This window comes from Homo sapiens, chromosome 8 (genome assembly GCF_000001405.40).
Source record: "Homo sapiens chromosome 8, GRCh38.p14 Primary Assembly".
NCBI lineage: Eukaryota > Metazoa > Chordata > Mammalia > Primates > Hominidae > Homo > Homo sapiens.
Window position 1 is genome coordinate 21,520,401 of NC_000008.11, and position 17,115 is coordinate 21,537,515.

The following is a 17,115-nucleotide window of genomic DNA, read 5'->3' on the forward strand; positions in this document are numbered from 1 at the left end:
ACATAAGTCTGATTGATCTGTTGCCAGTCAGAGGGAAGCAGAGGTCATCCCTAGATGCCTGGCTATGACCCCTGTATTCCACCATGGTGCAGATGCTTTCCATCACAGTGCAGGTGCATTCCATCATGTTGCAGGTGCATTCCATCATGGTTCATGGGCTCTTTTCAGTAGGGCTTCCAATCTGCTTGTTGATTTAATGGCTTAATTCCAAGTGGTTGGAAAATAGCCCTAATGCAAGGATAACGGGCAGAAAACTTTAGGGGCGGTGTTCCTTCCTATATTAGCCAGTCACAGCTCTCACTGTGCAGTCCAAATGGCACAGCCAATTTGTCCAAAACTGATAAATTAGGTGCAAAACCAACCAAGTGTTCCAATCACTCCTCATCAACTAATATCTAGAACGAAGAGCAGTTCTTACCTACCCACCTTATGGAAATCTATTTTCTGGCCTCCTTCCCTCTCTCCCAGAGGGATCCTCTGTTCCTTGTGCCCCAGGATCAGCATTGGACTTGATAGTTCCATGTGTCAGACCTGGAATTACTAATTAAGTCAACAGGTCTTCATGGAATGCCTGCCACATTAGGCAACAATGGGCATACAACAGATTGCATAGCATTTTTTTTGTACCAAAATGTATACTAGGTTTTCTGATTAAAATGCTAAATTGAGCGTGCGAAACCCTCTAATGTGATGAAATAAATGATAAAAGCCAGCAGGGAAACAGAGAATGAGACAGGAGTCAGTAGCAGATAAGATATTTCAATCCACTTTTTCAAGGTGGGGTGGGAAAAGAGGAGCAGCAACTGTCCTTGCAGAGTTGAGAAAGCTGTGCTCTGAGAGCCTCAGAGGGTGCCTGTGAGGCAGGAGCCAATTCACCCAGCAAAGCCCGCAGAAGGCTTGGCGATGGGAGGCACTGGGTACCTCAGAGACAGTGGAGGGGCTGAGCTGAGAAGGAGATGTTGGTTGAAGTCAGTGTGTAGAACAATTAGACCCCCAGGTCTCCTCCAACCCTGAAAAGCCACCTCTCTATTTATCCTGCCCAGATGGTGGAGCAGAGGCTGATCCTGTAGTTCTATTGAACTGGAAAAGCTACAGGTACAAGTGCAGGAACACCTGAAAAAGCAGAAGACAGAGTCGAGTCTCACAGTTAGAAACAGACATGAAATTCTCTATCTTGAATAGTGAGAAACACACTCTCTAACTCTGTTTTTCCACCCAGGTCCAAGAATCAAAAAAGGTAGGTATACAAATAACAATAGAGATGAGATAAAAGAAGGAAAGAGAGAGAAAGAGACAGACAGAGAGAGACAGAGAGAGAGAGAGAAGAGAGAGAGAGATCCTGGTAAGCAGCTGACTTTTTTGAAGAAAGAATTCTCCTGTCTCCTCACACCAAAAAATAAAAAGATCTATATCCTGCTTGGTGCTTGATCACCCTACAGGAAAGCCAATAATAAGTCCTCCTCCCCTAATATGAATCATACACACACACACACACACACACACAGAGAGAGAGAGAGAGAGAGAGAGAGAGAAAGAGAGAGATAGTTTCCAGTGATTTTTTGGTGATATAGATGACAATCATGGAATATGGAAAACAACAACGAAAATTAATAGAACAAAAAACTAAAGAAAACAATGCAGAGAGCAGATTAAATTTTCCAAAAAACTTTAATTAATATCACTTAACGTAGAAGAGAAAATATTGCAGCCATTGAACAAAAAAAGGATGTAATTTTTAAAAAGAACAAAGAACAGAAAACACTCTTGGAAGATAAAAGTGTGATTGCTAAATTCAAAAATTTAATAGGATAATTGAAAGACAAAGTCAAAGAGATCACCCATAATGAAGGAAATAAGAGACAAAGATGAAAAGTAGAAAATAAATTTAGAGGACAATCCAAGAAGTTCAACAATTATCTAGTGGACATTGCAGAAACAGAGAACAGACAAAAATAGAAGAAAATAATCTAATATGTGCTACAGAAACATTTTCCAATGAACTGACATGAGTCCCCTGTTTGAAATGATTCTGATTGCCCAACATATTAAATAAAGACTTCTCATCAAGGTTCCTCATCATGAAATTTTAGAAAAACAGGGCTAAAGATAATATCTTAAATTCTTGCAGAAAAGAAAAACATAACATCAAAAGATGTGAATTAAGAATGACAACTGACTTTTCAATAACCACAGGAGAAGTCAGAAGACAAAATTCTGAGGGAAATGTATTTTCCATCTAGAATTGATTTTCCAACTAAACCACAAATTCAGTATAAGGATAGACTAAAGACATTTTTAGACCTCTAAGGTATATTCAGCATTTCAGGAAGCCCCTAGATATGTGGCAGAAGATGTGGAGAAGAAATCCAAAAAAGAGGAAAACATGGATCCCAGGAAGCAGGGCTCCAGACAGGAGAATGGAAAAGCTAAGTCCTCAGATGATAGAAAAGGAGAGTCCCAGATGGTGGCTTTGCAGCGGGCCCAGAGAGCAGTTCCAGATGGAACTGGTTCTATGGAACATCATAGAACCATAGCAATTGGAGGTCTAGTGTGATTTTCCAGTCTCCTGTGGATGCACCGCATTGTCATGAGTCTTTATGTGTGTGTGTTCCTCTCCTATTCACAGCCTTCCCTGATCTCCTTCAACTCTAACCTATTCCCTTCCTCTTCCCCTTCCCCTCACCATCGTCCTTCATAGGGTAGGCAGTGTCTAACTTCAGATCTTTCTGGTTCAAAGCCAACCCCTTCACCTCTGCTCTTGATCATCCTTTCCCATCTCAATCACTTGCACCCATTCACTTTGCATTATATAGGCATCTCTTTCCCCATTTGCTCCTTCCTTTCAAGTCTAAAAATCTATGTCACTTGAAATTATCACCTTATCTTTCCCTTTCTCTTCTATTCTGAACTTCTTGGGGGTGGGGGGAAAGGTCTGCACTCAGTGTCCCCACTTTCTTATCTCCTAGTCACTCTTTAACGTAAACTTGCTGTAATGTGTTTCTGCCCACATCTAGCCAGGGACATTATTCTTGCCAAGGACACCTCCCAACTGAAACGAATGCTTCTCAGCTTTCATCTGACTTTATTCTTTGGCGCATGTGGTTCCTGTGACTGAAAATTCTTTCCTTTCTCTCTCTCTCTGTGGGCACATCCTTTTTTGCTTCTTTCTCCTTCCTTTTGGACAATCCATCCACTCATCCAGAACACACTCATTGAGCACCTACTCTGTGCAAGGCTGGGCACAGAGCTCACAGGCTGGTGGAGGAAACAGCCATGGAAACCAGCACATTCTGTAAAGTGTTACAGATGCAGCGATGGAGGTCACAGGGGATCCAGGGGAGCACAGAGGAGACAATTGCTCCCACTTAGGGGAGAGCTTCGGAGATTGCTGAAGGATGACTGAGCACCCTCTGGAAAGACAAGGAGAGCTGTGCAGACCTGGAGGGACTGCAGAGGAAGCAAATGTTGGTAGTCCCACATGGCCTGGGACCCCAGCCCCTGGGAGATGTGTGGAGTGGCTGGACGACAAGGGTGAGAGGTCTTCTCAATCACCTGGTCCTCGTCCTCCACTAGCTCCCTGAAGACGCTGTCCCATCATGGTCCCCCTTGTCCCTCTTTTCTTCCCCGCTCACAATCCACTCCCTGGGGGTCTCTCATTCACCGCTGTCTAGATGCATGAAATTAAACCCATTCTCCTCCTGTGCTCTCTGTTATGGTTAATGGTGTCATATCTCTCAGCGACCACAGACACTTAGGAGTCATCTGGACTCCCCCGTCCTTCCCCCCACACCTTGCCCCAGCAATATCCAAGCCCCATCAATCCCCACATCCCTCTCACATCTGCCCTGTGAGGGCTGTGGCCAGGCTCTCAGCATCTCCAAGGTGAACTATTATGAAAGCCTCTTAACTGCCTCAAACCTCATCCTCCCTCTCCATGCAAGCCACCAGGGGATCTTTCTAAAGCTCAAATAGGATAAAACTCTCTCCTTCACTTCCTCTCACCACAGCAGGCCACCTCACACTTTCCCAAGGGAGCTCCCCTAACCTAGCAGAGCTGGGGGCCACACTCCCTCTGAGGGCACCAGACTGGAGCCCAGTCTGAAAGTTCTGCCAGGATCCACTCAGGCTGGTTCCAGTGTTATGATAATTCTTTAAACTACCTATTTACAGAATCACTCAACCTCCTCCCCAAAGATGTTTAAGTATAATTGATACCCCAGGAAGATTGCTCTGCATTTATTTCTCCTGGAGCTTTGCATTCTGTTTGGCACAGCACCTCATGCCACCATATCTACCCATTTCCCCCACTGAGGAGCAGGGGAATGGCAGCTTCTCAGACCAGCACACAGGCCCTTCCAGTCTGGACCATGCCTGGCCTCCCCTACCACCTCTCACCATTACCACCTCTCACCTCTCCCCACCTTGGACTCTGTTCCAGCAATACACTTCTGTACCTCAGACTCTGTTCCAGCAATACACTTCTGTACCTCAGACTCTGTTCCAGCAATACACTTCTGTATCCTCACACTCTAGAACTGGGCCTACATAGAAAAAAAATTTCAGTAATTATCCTCCGGTTTGGAAATTGTCTTCAACCAGAGGGCCCCTCTCGCTTTAAAACTTCAGGGCTCCCAGCCTGCACTGGACTTCTAGAAAACTCACCAAATTGTATTGTTACTTTTATTAAAGTAATAAATTTCTCACTTTTTATAAAGTGTACATGTTCTTGTTTTCTTACAATAGTAATACAAGAAAAAAACAAAAAATGCAACAACCCTCAACCCTCAAACTCTCATTGCTGCCAGAATAAGCCAAAGTTAACACTTGAACATCGTTTCAGACCTACTTCTATTCTCAAAGCTTTGTGATTTTCCATGTGTCCATCTGTGGCACAAAGCAGTGAGCTCCTTAGGGGCCCGGTCTTACATGCCCAGCACCCACAGAATGCCTCATGTGTGCACTGAGGGGTGGGGACTCCCTAGAAGTTATGTCTCCAGCAGCAGGAGACCCCCCCCCCAACCGTGCATGAGCCTCCCCTCCTTCATTGACCATCGGCTTTGAGCCCAAAGCCCTGGGCTCTTCCAGTCCCCCAGCTCCACCTCCCCACTGCATCACCCACCCTCCCCACCTATTCCTAAGTTCCGCTCTGGGGTACAGATTTGGCAGATGAGACTCTGGTGACCCTTCTAATTACAGGGGAATTGACAAGATTCGGTGAAGAAGTGTATATTTTTAGCCATGGTGAAGAGAAAGGAGATCAAGAGAGAATATGGTCTGTCGGAACTTTCCTCAGCTCCTGCTCCTGAGCTCAGCAGGCTCCCAGGGTCTTGAACTTGAAAAGTTTTGGAAAGCAAGCAAGCAAGAAAGAAAAAGCTCTGGGGAGGGAGGGGAGGAAAATGGTTAACATTGATGTGAGAATATCTGTTTTGGAGAAATTTGCAAAACAGTGAAATGTGTTTACTGTTCAATGTGGGAGCACTAACAAGAAATAGATACAGAGGCAACGTGACGCTAACTGCCTTTGACACTGGTGATGGCCCTTTGGTTGGAACAAATTCACCCAGTGCTGAAATGGATTATTTCACACATCTGTTGTCTTGAGAGCCACCCTTTGCAAATATTCTAATGCCCAAGTTGGCTCATCTGTCCACTTACTGATTTATTTGAAGGCAGATTGGTGCGGAGAAGTGTCAGGCAGGAAGAACCCTGCAAGGATCCAGGGGCTGGAGGCTGGGGAGGATGAGGTCAGCTGATGGGAATCACACCCAGCTCCAGGACCTTGGATCAGGTGGAGCATCGTGCTCTAGGGCCATCTTGGAGCAACGATTCCCAAGAATCATTCTGACCTGCCAGTCAGAACAATGCCATTCATTTAATCTGCCCTGCCATTGCTATTCATTTAATTTTCACAGCATACAAAGGGGAGGGAACTCTTATCCCAATTTTACAGATAAAGAACAGAGGCACACAGATATAACGTTGCCCAACATCAGTGACACTGTTTGGTGGCAGAGTTGGCATGTTGGCTGAAGTCCTGTGTCCCCCACTGCCTGACACTTTCATATGTCCTAATCCTTGAGAAAGGAAATCAAAGCCCTTCTCTCCAGTCAACAAAGCCACACTTTGTCAATACAGCTCATGAAGGCCACCCACACTCGCCATCTCTCTCTCCACCTGGGCCTGGCCTGCAGTACTCCCCCACAGGCAAGCTGGGCCCTGGGCCCAGTTTTCATACAGACACAGGGTTTCAATTTAAGGGGTTGGGAGACTAGGCTAATACTGCCTATGATATTTAGAATAATAGTGTCTAATTACATCTTTCTAGTGACTGATTTTTTTAATGCTTCAAATATATTTTTGAAAATAGGCAGCATTGATATAGTTCATGAATGACAATCAGGTACCCACATCCATGACAACTCGCAATGACTGGTTAACAGCTTCCTGGGATGGGCTCTGAGTTGAGAAGGGTTCTGAATTCCAGGTTCTGTGGGAAAGAGTCCTGGAGTAAATGCATACCATTTTCTATGAGCATGAAATGATTAAGGGATGGCTTAATGGCTGCATACAATAGAGTCACATTATAAACACATTTAACTCAGATGCATGCAATCATTCAGATTCTACAAAAAGGCAGAGAGAAAGAGCAAATTTTTTAAGTGTGAGTGATTCTACCCATCCTTACATTCAGTTATCACATCCCTTTGAGTGAGGAAAGAATGGGCTGTCAACCTCCTTACACATCTCCTGGCATGAGCATCTTACTACACTAAATGGGATTCTGGTGTTTGAAAGAAATAGCAAGCATTTTTCTAAAACACACCTGATAAAACAAAATTCTCATAAAAGAAATCAAAAACTAAATGAAGAGATGTTCCATGTTCATGGATAGGAAGACTTTATTGTCAAAAAATCAATTCTTTCCAACTTGATCTCTAGATTCGATGCCGTCTCAATCAGAATCCCATCAACTTGCTTTGTGGATATTGACAAACTGATTCTAAAGTTTATATGGAGAGGTAGAAGACCCAAAATGGCCAATGCGAAATTGGAGAAGAACAAAGTCAAAGGACTGAAACTACCTGACCTCAAGACTTACTATAAGGCTACATTAGTCAAGACGATGGGCAAATTGATCAATGGAACAGAGGGGAGAATGTAGAAATAGACCTACACAAATTTAGTCATCAGATCTTTAACAAAGGAGCAATGGCAACACAATGGAGAAAAGATAGTCTTTGCAAAGGAGTGCAAATTAAAATAATAGGATACTACTTACTACCTATTACATTGGAGATTATTTTTAATATGGAAGTTAGGACAACATGCCTTGATCACAATTTTATAAAACATACCACAACTTTTAAAATATCCATCAATTCCACTTTAATTATTGGTGATTTGCACAATGTAAAATAACAAGAGGTGAATAAAATTAAACTAATAGATATGTTCACTGCAGCAATAATAACAATAATAGGAAATTCTAAAACAACCACAATATCCAATAATGAAAAGACAATTCAATTTAGTACAATGTATACGGTCATTGAAAATGATGTTATAAGTATTTAATAATCTGAGAAAGTATTTATAATCTGGACAAGGCTATATTGCATTGTTGCTTTTGTGTAAATCCTGTAGGATTTTCTACAAAGACAGTTACATTAACTGAGAAAAAAAGTTCATATATGGTATTAAAATCATAAAAAAGCACACTTTTATGCTCTCCTCCCAATATTTGTTCATAGTTTATTTCTACATATTTGAGAAACTACACAGTACATTGTTATTACTTTTGCATTAAACAATAAATTACATTTAAAGATATTTAAATAATAAGAAAACCTACTTTTATGCTTATCACTGTAATTACCAGTTCTACTACTGTTTATTTCTTTCTGTAGATCCAGATATTGAACTGGTATCATTTGTCTTCTGCCCAAAGGATTTCCTTTAACATTTCTTGTAGTGCAGATCTGCTGATAATTAATTCCTCCAGCTGTTGTATGTCTGAAGAAGTCTTTATATTCCTTGTATTTTTGACAAATATTTTCACTTGATTTAGAATCCTAAATATGAAAGATTTTTCCCATGTACTGTAAAATAGTATTTCACTGGCTTCTGGCTTAAGTTGTCTCCAACAAGAAGTCTGCTGTCATCCTCATCTTTATTCCTCAGTATGTAATGTGTCTTTTTTGCCCTTGCCTGCTTTAAGGATTGTCTCTTTACCACTGGTTTTAATGAATTTGATTATGATGTGCTTTGCTGTAGCTTTCTTCATATTTCTGATGCTAGGATTTCATTGAGCTTCTTGGATCTATGGGTTTATAGTTTTCATCAAATTTGGGGATTTTTTGGCTATCATTGCTTCAATTTTGTTTGTCTTTTCCCTCCCACTCCTATTTTCCTTTATGGACTACAATTACATGTATATTAGACAGCTTAAAATTGTCCCACAGCTCACTGAAATGAAACTTTTTTTTCAGTTTTTTTCTCGTGTGTTTCATTTTGATATCTTCAGGTTCATAAATTTTTTATTCTGTAATGCCCATTCTGTTATTTGTATCTGGGGTGCTGTTCATATTAGACATTATAGTCTTTATCTCTAGAACTTCAATTTGGAACTCTTTTTATCTTGCATGTCTCTAATGAACATTCTGAAATTTTCTTCTACCTTGTTGAATACGTAGATAAAATATGCTAAGTGTATTAATGTCTCTATCTATTAATGCTAACACCTGTGTTGTTCAGGAGTCAATTTAGATAGATTGATATTTCTTATTATTGTAGCTTCTATTTTCCTGCTTCTTTGCATGCCTAGTAAGTCTGTATTGGGTATTAATCATTGTGAACTTTTCATGGTTGGGTGTATATTTTCACATTCCAATAAATACTATTGAGTCATTTTCTAAAATGAAGGTATGTTAAATAAAAATAGTTTGAATCTTCTAAGTATTGCCGTCAACTTTTATTAGGCAGTACCAGACCAATTTTTAGTATAGGTATAATTTTTTCCCATGAATGAATTAAAGGTCTTCTGAATATACTACCTTATGCTCAATGAATTGGGTAGAATAGTTTGTGGGGGGTGTGTGTGTGTGTGTGAGTGTGTGTGTGTGTGTGTGTGTATGTGGTGGTGTTGTTTATTTTTTACTGTTTCTGGTGGGAACAAGACTAATTCTGGCCCTGTGTGGGCTTTGATATTGCTTGTTCTGATCTCTTCGGGTCATTCCTTCTCCAGCTTCAATTGTTTTCTCATTCAGGTGTGCTGACCAGTACTCAGCTGAAGACTTATGAGTGACCTACTGAAATCCACAGAGCTTTCTCTTTCCCTCACTCCTCCCCAACTTTGAAGCACACCATCCATATGTTTGCATACATGCACGTTCATTCTCCCACTCTCCCCACAGCCCCACCCCGCCACACACACACTCTTTTCTCTCTGGAAATTGCCCCGGCCCAGCTTCCTTGATATCCCCCAGATCCCAGCTTCAAATTCTCAACTCAGGGAAAACCCTGGGTTCCATGTGGTTTTCTTCTCTCTCTGCTACGGCCTGAAATCTCTCTTCAGGTGGTAACCTGGGGAAACAATCGATATTATGTCATCTGTTTCCCATCTCTCAAGGTTTGCTGTTGCCTGATCTTATGTCCAGTCTTGAAAACTGTGGTTTTATATCACATGCACACATATGTGTAGATGTGTACGTATGTATGTATGTATACATTCCTCCATACATATATGTATGTTTCTGTGTATATATACACGTACATACACACATACATATAGTATTTTTTCCTTTTTTCCATTTGTTTCAGATAAGTGTATAAGTCAGGACCTTGTTTCTTTAGCCAGAAGCAGAGATCATGATTTGTATAATTTTATTTTCCAAGAGGTGTAAGCTCTTACAAGCCAATATAAAGAACTTTCGCCACAGAAATTTTATATGTGAACTTCTAAGAGAGAGAGACACAGAAAAATAGAGATTCTCTATGAAAAACTACTTTTTGTAGTATACAAACTAGGACTACTTAAAACAGAGGAAAAAGTTAAATGATAAAATTAAGGCAGCTGGCCTGTAATCCCAGCACTTCATGAGGGTGATGCAGGCAGATCACCTGAGATTTTTGAGGACTTATTACTACAAAAACTGGTTGGCTTTATATTAAAATGATCATATTTTACATATATTGGGGTAAATAAAATAGATTAAATAAAATATATTTTTAAAAATAATTTCACTGGTTTCTTTTTAATCTTTAAATTTTAATTTGTATGTGTGTACCTCACATTGTATTTCTTTTGGACAAAGCTAATTCAGAATATAAAAGAACTCTTGAAAATCAACAATAAAAAGATGGGAATCTCAACAGAAAAATGGGCAACAGATACAAGCAGGTAATTTATAGAAGGAAAAATGAAAAAATAATCCAAAACAAGCATATGACTATCTGCTCAAAATAATTAAGAATAAGAAAAATGCAAATTAAGAAAACAAAAAAATACAGACTGGAAAATGTAAGAAAATTGAATAATGCCAAGAGTCACTGGGGATTTAAAGAAGCAGGAACCTTCTTGCACTGCTGGTGGGAGTGTGGATGGGTGTAGCCATTGGACTGCACAATCTGCCAGTACATAGTCATATTCAATATAAACACATGTTATGGCCCCCAAATTCTACTTCTATATCTACATATCCCAGATAAATTCTTATACAGTCACAAGGGCACATATATAAAGATCTCTTTGCAGTGTTATTTGTGGTAGCCAGTAGTAGGAGTCAACCTGGGTGCACATCACTGGGAAGGAAGACATATGCTATGTTGTAATTATTCACCATAGGGTACTATGCAGCAGTTGAAAGCAGTAGGTTATACTTATATATAGCAATGTGGATGGTGAAGAATGTATGAAACAATGTGTGTGTATGTGTGTGCATAAAAAACAATACACAGTTTCAGGAACAGAGCTTAACATATATTAAATCCATTAGAATATGGCTGCCTACAGGGTAGGGGAAATAGGAATAAAAATAGAGTTTATGGATAAAGGAGGATAAATAAACATATACATACACACCTTTATGTTTACAACAGAGGGGCCTTGTCTGAACCAGTAATGATAATGTACCTGGAACTGGGAAATATAATAAATTCAACCCTCTATTATCTTCCGTTGCAAAAAAAAAAAAAGTGGGAGACAGCCATTTTTAGCTATGTTTACAAATAATAGTCAAGAAATACTGCATTTTGAGCCCCTAATTTATCTGAATTTCCTTGCATCCAAGGCAAGAAGAGAAATACATTGAGTTACAAATCTGGGTTATATCAAAATGAACACAACTATTTGTCAGATGAGACAAATCTTGTCCATGTAGTGAATTCCCAGAAAAACATCTACCTTAGACTAGCACTAGTGATTTTTATGCTATGAGACCTTTAACAAGGAATTGAGCAGGGGTGTGTGAGGTGGTGGGTAAGGAGATAAAAAAAAAATAAATGCAGAAGGAGAGAAAAGACAAGGGCCAAGGGACTCCAGTTTCCATTTAACCATATTAATCTATTACAGGTATTACGTTTCCACATAAGCTTTTATTTGAAGAACGGATTCCGTGATTAAAAAGAAAAAAATGAGAGCCATTCTCCTAGGCCTCTGTATAAGATATTGAACAACATAATGAACAGTATCTTCAACAGCAGTTATACAAAAGTTGCAGAGTACTCTTCATATCACTGCTTCTTTTATCAACACTAGATGGAAACTGAAAGCATAATATTAGATCACCGTTTTCTGAAAAGACATTTCTATGGGAAGCTAAAATAATGTAGTATAGCATATGTCTTCCTGGTAATAGAACTTGGTAGAGAGAGAGTACACTTAGAGAACCCAGAATAATTGACGGTTAATGTCCTGTGGACTAACTCCCCAAGGTCCTTGTCAGGCTGCTTTCAGAAGATTTAAATGACAGGTAAGTGCCCCAAGTTACAGATATGCTCAATTGTTGACTGAAAGGGAGCCATCTATTTTAAAGAAAATTGAAATATTAGTAAACACAAAGAACTTGCTTTGTATTCTTACCCAAATGGAGAGCTCCCTAGCTCCCCTCAATACACCTACATGCATGCACATGCACACACAAATCCCACACTCCTGCATGGAAGCGGATTGCAGAGGCACCTGTGGGTGGGGTCAAGCTTCTTATAGGTAACTGTAAGCAGCCTTCCATCTTCACAAGTACTTGAATAGTGGCCCAACTGAAGTCCCGTGAAACAACTCCCAGTAAAGGGAAAACATGGGTTTTACCTAGGCAATTCTAAGAACAGCCATAACCAATTAGCTGCTATGAGACCACAGAAGACCCTTGATGTTGTCCTAGTTCTTCTCTTAGATCATCGGAGGGTGGGACACCAGACCTTAGGGTGGTGTCTGAGATGCTGGACTGGATTCAGGGGTAAACGTAACTGGATTGCAGGCTATGTTACACCATTTTTGTGTTGCAATAAAGAAATACCTGAGGCTGGAGGCTGAGTGCAGTGGCTCATTCCTGTAATTCCAGCACTTTGGGAGGCTGAGGCGGGCGGATCACCCGAGGTCAGGAGTTCGAGATCAGCCTGGCCAACATGGCAAAACCCCATCTCTACTAAAAATACATAAATTAGCCAATAATGGTAGTATGCACCTGTGATCTCAGCTACTTGGGAGGCTAAAGCAAGAGAACAGCTTGAACCCAGGAGGTGGAAGTCTCAATGAGCCAAGATCATACCACTGCACTCCAGTCTGGGCCACAGAGCAAGACTCTGTCAAAAAAAAGAGAGAGAGAGAGAGAGAGAAAGAAAGAGAGAGAGAGAGAGAGAAAGAAAGATGGAAGGAAGGAAGGAAGAAAAGAAAAAGAAGAAAGAAAGAGAAACAAAGATGGAAGGAAGGAAGGAAGAAAAGAAAAAGGAAAGAAAGAAAGAAAGAGAAAGAAAGAAAGAAAGAAAGAAAGAAAGAAAGAAAGAAACAAATAAACAAACAAACAAACAAACAAAAACAAAGAAAGAAGGAAGGAAGGAAGGAAGGAAGAAGGAAGGAAGGAAGGAAGGAAGGAAGGAAGGAAGGAAGGAAGGAAGGAAAGAAAGAAAGAAAGAAAGAAAGAAAGAAAGAAAGAAAGAAAGAAAGAAAGAAAGAAAAATACCTGTGGCTGGGTAACTTATAAAGAGGTTTAATTGGCTTACGGTTCTGTAGGCTGTACAAGAAGGATGGTGCCAGCATGTGCCTCTGGTGAGGGCCTCAGAAAGCTTACAATCATGGCAGAAGGCAGAATGGGGAGCAGGCATCTCACAAGGTGAGAGCAGCAACAAGAGAGAGGGAGATGTGCCACACACTTTTAAACAACCAGATCTCAGGAGAACCCACTCACTATGATGAGGATGGTACCAAGTCATTCATGAGGAATCTGTCCCTATGACTTACACTCCTCCCACCAGGCCCCACCTTCAACATTAGGGGTGACATCTCTACATGAGATTTGGAGGGAGAAACATCCAAACTATATCACAGGCAGCCAAGCATTGACTCAAGAGAGACGGAAAAGTTAGCCCATGAACTTCAAGCTTGTGGTAATTAATAGAGTAGCTAATATTGGACTAACACCTATGCCCATAAAAATTATTAACTGTAGACAACATATATATTTTTTAAAACCTGTTTTAGGAACTTGGGGGTGGCCAAAGCAAGGAGAAACTAGAGAGGATATGATCTCATGAAGGAGAGTATATTGGCTTACTATAGCAGGTAGAGCAGTTTGGTAAACTGGGTATCTTAGTTCAGGCTGCCATAGCAAAGTGCCCTAGACTGGGTGGCTACAAATAACTGAAATTTATTTCTTGCTGTTCTGGGGGCTGGAAGTCTGAGATCAGGGTGCCAGCAGGGTTGGGTTCTGGTGAGGCCCTGCTTCCAGATTATAAAGTGCCAACTTCTAGTTGTATCCACACGTGGCAGAAAAGGGCATGAGAGGCCTCTAAGATCTCCTTAATAAGGGCTCTAATCCCAGTCATCCCAGTCATGAGGATCCACCCTCATGACCTAATTACCTCCCAAAGGTCCCACTTTCTAATTTCATCACACTGGGAGTTAAGATTTCAACATATACATTTGGGCAGGGGTGGGGGGACACAAATATTCAGCTCATAAAACTAGGTGACTTAAAGAGCAGAAATGTATTATGTCACAGTTTCAGAGGCTGGAAGTCCAAGATCAAGGTACTGACAGTATTGGTCCCTCTCAAGGCTGTAATGAAGTGTCTGCCCTATGCCTCTCCCCTAGCTTCTGGTGGTTTTCTGGCTTGCAGAAGCAACTCCAATTTCTGCCTTCATCTGCACATGGAGCTTTCCTTGTGCATGTGTCTCTGTGTCAAAATCTCCCACTTGTTCAGGACACCAGTCATACTGGGTTAGGTCCACCCTATGACCTCATTTTAATTTGATAACCTTGTAAAGTGTTTTTCTCCAATTAAGATCGCTTTCTGAGGTATGGGTTAAGACTTTAACATAAGAATTTTGGGGGACAAAATTCAACTCACAGCAGTAAACAAACTAGGTAAGATCCACATGTAATTGGTTTTTCCCCTGAAGGCATGCCCAGTCTGTATGACACATGGTACACAGAGATCAAGCAGAAAGCAACAGCCTTACTGGGCTGTCAATCACTGAAAGTCAGAGATCGGAATGTAGAGTTGTCTAAGTGGCTAGAAAATCACAGGTCATATCTCAGAAAAGAGTGAGCCATTTTCGGGGGAGGGACACAAAATATGCAAACACACTGCTCTCAGGATCCTGCCTCACTTCTGGACTGCTCATGGATTGAGTGAGGTACTAAGAAATCCAGAAAGCTGTAAACAGAAGGCTAAAATAGCTAAGAAGATATTTCATTAGCTGCCTCATGCTGAGGGAACAGAGTTCAGGGTTAAAACCTCACCAAAGTTAGAGATTTTTGGTAAACCCCAGAAGGCTTTCTACTGAAACGCAAGAAGGGCCAGACCTTAGGACTAGTGACAATATCTGAGCCTTAAACCTAGGGGAAAACTGAAACAGAGCCAACCCAGCAGAGCCTAAAATCAAACCTCCACAATTTGAGGTGATCTGCAGGAATTCAGTTGCTTTATAGAACAAAACCTAACACTCTTCAGAGTAAAAAAACAGAACCCAGGATCTCTAGATTATATCATCCATAATGCCCTATATATAATTAAATGTTACTGGAAATGCAAGAGAATACAAAAATATGACAAATCATCAAGAAAAAATAGTCGATAGAAATAGACCCAAAGACAACATGCATGATAGAATTAGCAGAACTTTTCAATAACTAGAAGAAAAAGCTGGGACTAAGATGAAATGAGTGAGGCACTTGCCTTGAGTGTAAAATTTAAGGAGGTGCCAGAAAAACTGGGCAATCAATATAATACAATAAGGCAGTATTTTAACAAATCAAAATTAATGCAAAAGAAATCCATGATGTACAAACTACCAAAATTTAAAATAAGGGCAAGATCAATAACGACGCTATACTAAGCCTTGCTGAAACTGGGGAAAAAAATCAATAACGCTGACCTTGTCTTCATTCAAAATTTTTGTCAGAAAAAATGACAAAATATTAGGAAAAAATTTTCCAAATACAAATAAGACAAACATAGATCCAAGAAGCTCAGCAAAACCCACCCAGAAAAGAAAATATAAAGAAAACCTCACTGAGATATATCAAAAATCAAAATGCTGAAACAATAAAGACAAAGGAAAAAAAAATCTCCAACAAAGCCCAAGAAGGCACATTCCATGGAGGAGAACAGCAACAAAAATAACAGCTGACTTCTCACCACAAACAATAGAGAACAGAAAACAACAGAAGCATATCTTTAAAATGCTGAAGGGAAAACAAAACAAAATGAAACTTCAATCTTGATTCTACATCCAGCGAAAATATCCTTCAAAACAAAAAGTAACGTAAAGGCATTTTCAGATCACTGAAAGTAGAAAGAATTCATTACCAACAGACCCACACCACAAGAAATGCTAACCGAAGTTATTTGGGCTCAATAGAAATTATGCGAGATGGAAATTTGGAAATACAGGAAGGAATGAAGAACGCTGAAAATTATCAATACATTCATGCATCACTTAATGATGGGGATATGTTTTGAGAAATGCATGAAATGGTTAGGCAATTGTGTCATTGCGAGAGCCTCAGAGAGTGTACTTACATAAACCTAGATGGTATAGCCTATTATACACCTAAGCAGTATGACATATCCTATTGCTCCTACACTACAAACCTATACGGTATGTTACTGTATTGAATACTGTAGCCAATTGTAACACAATGATAAGTGTTTGTGTATCTAAACCTATCTAAAGATAGACAAGGTACAGTAAAAATACAATATTACAATCTTATGGGACCACCATCATATATGCAATTCATAACTGTGTATGGATAAATTTTTTAATTATTTTTTTCTCAGAGTCTTTAAAAGAAAATGGACTGAAGTAATAAAAAAATATCCTGGTGTTTATAAAATATGTAGAATTAAATATGTGACAATAGAACAAAGAACATCATGTGGTAAATGGAATTATACTTTAATTTTGACATTAAACCAAGAATGGTATAACAATTTCAGAGAGACAGTGATTAAGTTAAAGAGGTACATTATAATCTCTAGTCAATAATTTTTTTTTTTTTTTAAGACAGAGTCTCACTCTGTCACCCAGGCTGGAGTGCGGTAGCATGATCTCGGCTCACTACAGTCTCTGCCTCCCAGGCTCAAGCGATTCTCATGCCTTAGCCTCCCGAGTAGCCTGTAGGCATATACCACCATGCCCGGCTAATTTCTTTTGTATTTTTAGTAGAGGTGGGGTTTCACCATGTTGGCCAGGCTGGTCTCAAACTCCTGACCTTAAGTGATCTGCCTGCCTCAACCTCCCAAAGTGCTGGACAATAAACTTTCAAAATATAGAGAGAGAGAGATGTAGCTATAATGCTAGGAGAAGATAGAATGAAATATTTTAAAATACTTTATTAACCCCAAAGGGGGCAGGAAAATGAGGCAGAAAAGCAGAGAACAAGTAAAACAAACA

At 40.1% G+C, this 17,115-nt stretch overlaps 1 annotated feature.

The window, feature by feature from the left end:
• Positions 9,435 to 9,604: an enhancer, noted in NCBI's record as "experimental_102756 CRE fragment used in MPRA reporter constructs". NCBI's record gives its function as "activates a minimal promoter by MPRAs in K562 erythroleukemia cells, with activity observed for the introgressed 8:21387431 variant allele {active_cell/tissue: K562}" and the evidence as "EXISTENCE:reporter gene assay evidence [ECO:0000049][PMID:34662402]".